At 45.4% G+C, this 6,000-nt stretch overlaps 1 annotated feature.

Moving 5' to 3' along the window:
• Positions 1,690-1,759: an enhancer, noted in NCBI's record as "active region_25970". NCBI's record gives its function as "activates an Ori minimal core promoter by ATAC-STARR-seq in GM12878 lymphoblastoid cells {active_cell/tissue: GM12878}" and the evidence as "EXISTENCE:reporter gene assay evidence [ECO:0000049][PMID:35858748]".

The raw sequence follows: 6,000 nt of genomic DNA, 5'->3' as shown, positions 1-6,000 counted from the left end.
CCCTGGCTTTCTCGTGTCCTGAGTATGACCATTCTGCCAGTACTGTGTCTGCCGTGATTGGAAATCCTTTATCTGTCTTCATTAGATTTTACAACAGGGAAGATACTGATGTTTTTTCTTAGTTTGTTATGACCATTTTACTATTTGGTAATAATAAAACCTTCTATAAAGTTAAAGGAGTACATGGTGGTAGCAGTAAAGAAGACAGAAATATATCAATTTAAACCTTGTGCAACACAGTAATACATAAAGTGAAAATTATTTTCTCCTCCCCTTTTCAGCCCTACTGTAAAAAGAAGGCTTCTGATGGCTGAATAGTATTCCTTTGTGTGGATATCACAATGGACATCACCAACTTTCTAGTGTTAGATTTTCTGTACAACAAATAACAATGTGATTTCATGGTAAAATCTTTGCACAGGCCTATGTGTTACATTCCTGGAATAAAATGGCTGCAGAGTGCAAAGGCAGCCACACACACAGCTTCAGGAAGTTCTTTCCTGGAAGCCACTCTGGGGTGAGGCCCATAGTTCCCACACTCCCGCCACCTGTTGCAAATCTGAGACCCAGAGAGGGGACGGTGGTTAAGCTAGCATGGGGTCCAGTGATCCCATTACTGGGTATATACCCAAAGGATTATAAATCATGCTACTATAAAGACACATGCACATGTGTGTTTATTGTGGCACTATTCACAATAGCAAAGACTTGGAACCAACCCAAATGTCCATCAATGATAGACTGGATTAAGAAAATGTGGCACATATACACCATGGAATACTATGCAGCCATAAAAAAGGATGAGTTCACATCCTTTGTAGGGACATGGATGAAGCTGGAAACCATCATTCTGAACAAACTGTCGCAAGGACAGAAAACCAAACACCACATGTTCTCACTCATGGGTGGGAATTGAACAATTAGAACACTTGGACACAGGGTGGGGTACACCGCACACCGGTGCCTGTCGTGAGGTGGGGGGAGGGGGGAGGAATCGCATTAAGAGAAATACCTAATGTAAATGATGAGTTAATGGGTGCAGCACACCAACATGGCACATGTATACATATGTAACAAACCTGCACGTTGTGCACATGTACCCTAGAACTTAAAGTATAATAATTTAAAAAAAAAGAAACACACACACACACAAAAGAGCTAGCGTGGGGTCCAGTTTGTTGACTCAGTCAATTGTTGGCTCTTTTCATCCCATAGCACTGCCTTTCCCAAACTTACCTTGGATCATCTCTTCCAATGACCCAAGTAGCACCTAAAATGGCTAAAGAGTCACCTGTGTAGAAATCAGGACAGACATAGGACCTGGAGAATGGCCATACTCTGGGTGAAACAGAAGATAGGTGGAACAAGAAAGCCCGGGAGGCCAGAGGAGTATGTTCACACCTGAGATTCCATGTGTCAGAGGAGGGGCCTGGTAGAAGGTGATTGGGTTACGGGGGCAGATTTCTCCCTTGTTGTTCTCGTGATAGTGAGTGAGCTTTCACAAGACTTGATCATTTAAAAGTGTGTAGCACCTCCCCCTTCTCTCACACTCTCTCGAGAACTCTTCTCTCCTGCCACTATGAGAAGAAGGTACTCACTTCCCCTTCCGGTATGATTGTAGGTTTCCTGAGGCCTCCCCAGCCATGCCTCCTGAACAGCCTGTGGAACTGTGAGTCAATTAAACCTCTTTTCTTCATAAATTATCCAGTCTCAGGTAGTTCTTTATAGCAATGTGAGAATAAACTAACACATAGTCCTTCCTTGTGTATGAAGTTTTCTGTGCATTTCTGGGCCTGTGAGGTTAAGGCCCTAAGCCTGGATGCTGTGGCGATACTACAGTACCACTGAGGTATCCCCACCTCGTGAGGCCTCTTAGAAGACAGCCTGTTAACCTTCTAGTAGCACTCAACCCCGCTGGCCTTCTTGGCTCACAGTGCTTACAAGGACTTCTAGTAACCACTATGCCCAACGTTATACAGCATGTCACAGCCCATAGGAAGTTTTCCCATTTTCTCTTTTGAGCCTCACCATAAAATGCAATCAAAGCCGGGGCAGAATGATTGTCCTCACTCTGGTGTCAAACAGACTTTGTTTCAGACCCTGGCTCCCAGGTCCTTTTCTAAAGTTCTCAGTCCATTTCCTTATCTGCAGAACATAGATGACCCTGCTCATAGGGCTGCTGGAAAGAGCAAATGAAGAAATGCTCCTCTTCCACCCCTGAGCTGGCAGGAACAGTGGCCGCCCCACGACTCCCACTACTGCAGGGCAGTCCCACTGCACTCCACGTTGGCCCAGCCTAATAAGATCTCAGCCTGCAGCTTTTCATGCTTCTGAGGAGTATGGTTTATACACGTAGGCAAGCAGAGGACAGAGTGAGACAGGGTGGACTCAGGCAGGAAGAGACACTGTAGGAGAAGAGGTAGATATCTGGAGAAGAGGGACCTTGTTTGGATGTTTTGATGCATGAGTCTAAGAGCTTGAGAGGAGGAGCAGCCTAAGCACCTGTGGGCAAGGATGGGGAGCAATGGGGTCCATTGACTGAAACACAGATGTCCTCTGGGCATGGAAGACGTGGCTCAGTACAATAATTAGCCATGCAGAACAAAGGAAACCCTACTGAAACACACATTTTATTAAAAATTAAGTCAAGCCAGGCACGGTGGCTCACAGCTGTAATCCCAACACTTTGAGAGGCCAAGGCAGGAGGATCACTTGAGGCCAAGAGTTTGAGACCAGCCTGGGCAACACAGTGAGACTGTCTCTATAAAAAAATAAAAAATACAAAAAAAAATTTTTCAGAGTTCATTTGGGAGGCCAGGAATTCGAAACCAGCCTGGGCAACACAGTGAGACCCCATCCCTACAAAAAAAATTTTAGAAATTGGATGGGCATGGTCATGTGCACCTGTAGTCCCAGCTATTTGGGAGGCTGAACTAAGGGGATTGCTTGAGCCCAGGAGGATGAGGCCACAGTGCACCATGATTGGACCACTGCACTCCAGTCTGGGTGACAGAGTAAGACTCAAGTCACAATTCAAACTTGAAATCCCAAAAGCATGTGTAGGAAGGAGATTCTGTAAATAACTCTGGTTGTTAAGTGAAGAACTAGTGTGCTCAGCCATCCCTTCTTAGCAGTGGTAAATGTCCCTTTTACTGAAATGGATTTATGGAGGGCTTTCTAGAAGTGTATATACCACATGACAGGCAACGGGGAGCCTTTTCCACTCCTGGTAAGATCTGCTCCCTGAGAGCCATGTTTGAGGAACATACGCTACTTGAAAGTTTACTTGAAGACTAGAAGCAGGAGGCAGGAATGTTTCAGCCTACAGAATAAAGGCAGGACAGTGGCAGCATGACTGGACAGGAAGACCAGAGGAGGAGCAGGAGGCTGGGGAGACAGAGAGAGGGCGGAGGGAGAGGGCAGGCAGGATTATCAAAGCATTAATAATCCACTGTAAACCCAACCTAGCCAGGGCCATTTTTTGGAGGAGTGGGTAAGTGTGGAGCCACGCCAGGCAGCAATGAGTAAGGAGGAGCAGGTGTTCCAGATCCAAGTCAGGGTGGCCACAGGCAGCCCTTGGGACCCCCTGACTTCCCTCACAGCCTTGCAGGCCTAGGTGTCTTCCAGTCGACATTTTCAGGCATCGGGGTGCAGAGAGAAAGAAGACACACTCCCTGTCTAAGTTCTCAGTCCATTTCCTTATCTGCAGAACATAGATGACTCTGTTCATAGGGCTGCTGGAAAGAGCAAATGAATTCTCAGTCCATTTCCTTATCTGCAGAACGTAGATGACACTGCTCATATGGCCGCTGGAAAGAGCAAAGGAAGAAATGCTCCTCCTCCACGCCCAGTTGACATGTCTATTTTCTTACATCCCCTTCTTTCCTACCTGAAGGATAACATTTTATGGATACTTGTTTGTGTTTTGCCTTTTTCACTTAAAGTATGTCTTAGAAATACCCTCACCTCAATTGTGGAGCTCTTCCTCCTTTTTTTTTTTTTTTTTTTTTTTTTTTGTTGAGACGGAGTCTCGCTCTGTCGCCTCTTCCTCCTTTTTAACAGCTAAAGAAATATGCTTCTAATAAACCATGAGCAAAAGAAGAAATAAAAATGGAAATGATAAAATATTTGAACTGAAAAATAATGAAACTACCACATATTAAACTTGTGGATTATGGGCCAGTGTGGTGGCTCATGCCTGTAATCCCAGCATTTTGGGAGGCCGAGGCGGGCGGATCACCTGAGGTCAGGAGTTCCAGACCAGCCTGGCCAACACGGGTGAAACCCCGCATCTACTAAAGATACAAAAATTAGCTGGGCATGGTGGCGCATGCCTGTAGTCCCAGCTACTTGAGAGGCTGAGGCAGGAGAATCATTGAACACAGGAGGTGGAGATTGCAGTGAGCCGAGATAGTGCCATTGCACTCCAGCCTGGGTGACAAGAGCAAAACTCTGTCTCAAAAAGAGAGAAGAAAATAGACATGTACATGCTCATTTGTGCCAAAGAAATATAGAAAAGGATAAATGAGGAGCTAAAGAGATTGGTCACCTAAGAGAAGGGTGGAAAAAGGGTACCCAGGGGGATGAGAACAAAGTGATAGGATGGGGAGGGGTACACTCTGCGTCTCTAGCCTTTTGTGTGACTCTTAGAGTTAAAGTAGAGTTCACACACTCAAAAAACAAGCAAAACCCAAAATGGAATGCAGACAGTAGCACTTGAGCTTCACAGCACTGCAAATGAACAGCACAGCTGCATTGAAGGGAGCAGGGAGGAAAAGAGCTCACCTAAGTCATTGTGGAAAACAGTACCGGGACTGGATCCTGTATGGCTAAAGGCAAAAAGAACCGCACAGAAATCCTGCGATGGGCCAGGCACGGTGGCTCACGCCTGTAATCCCAGCACTTTGGGAGGCTGACGAGGGTGGATCACCTGAGGTCAGGAGTTCAAGACGAGCCTGACCAACATGGTGAAACCCTGTCTCTACTAAAAATATAAAAATTAGCTGTGCATGGTGGCACGTGCCTGTAATCCCAGCTACTCAGAAGGCTGAGGCAGGAGAATCACTTGAACCCAGGAGGCGGAGGTTGCAGTGAGCCGAGATCGTGCCACTGCACTCCAGCCTGGGAGACAGAGTGAGACTATGTCTCAAAAAAAAAAAAAAAAGAAATGCTGTAATGTAGCCAGTGAATGTATTTCCTCCAAGGGTGTGGCAAGCAATTCTGAAACTACTTGAGGCATGGACTAGAACTGAAAAAATTAGTAAGAATATCATAATAATGACAGCTGGGTTTCTCACTGTTGGAAAAAGAAGTTACAAGTGAGGAAAGGCTAAAGCGAGCCCCATTGTGTTGGTTTGGAACCAGAGGTATCAGTATAAACTCAGGACTTTAATCTGCATACAAACAGATAGACACAGAAATACACATGCATGTCCACGCGTGGGTTAGCAGACATGCGTATATTTCCTAGCCTGTCTGCTGATGAGAGAGCCTCAACAAGGGACAACCCAGGAGCATGGACAGCTCTGCTAGGATCTCAGCTTCTAAGCACCATTCTCCAGTAAAAAGGCACCATGATCCTTAGAAAAATGGCTCATTCCCAGGTTGAAGCAGGGAAGCTACAAGATGAGTTTGGAGCATCTTCTCATGCCAGAAAGTGAGAAAGTGCCCAAAAAAAAGAACAGTTGTCAAAAGAACATGGGAGCCAATCTCAAGGCACTCCCAATGGCCAAAGCTGGAACAAAGTGCTAAGTAATCTAATAAATGATGGGGCAAAGGGCAGCCTTTCCTTACAGAATAATTCCAGTTAATAAGTGTAGAAGAACGAAGACAAACTACCATCAGGCAAACACCACAGTAATAAGTGGTACAGACAAGATCCACCAACGAATGTTAAAATTAGCGGGCACAAGTTTGAAAAGAACAAGTTATTAGTATAATCTCAAATTCAACCCCCAAGATATTTATTAACTACAAATGGAGAGATACACAGAGTCACTT

The sequence above is a fragment of the Homo sapiens genome, chromosome 7, assembly GCF_000001405.40.
Source record: "Homo sapiens chromosome 7, GRCh38.p14 Primary Assembly".
In the NCBI taxonomy this organism is placed as follows: domain Eukaryota; kingdom Metazoa; phylum Chordata; class Mammalia; order Primates; family Hominidae; genus Homo; species Homo sapiens.
This window is presented reverse-complemented; position numbering and strand designations above follow the sequence as displayed.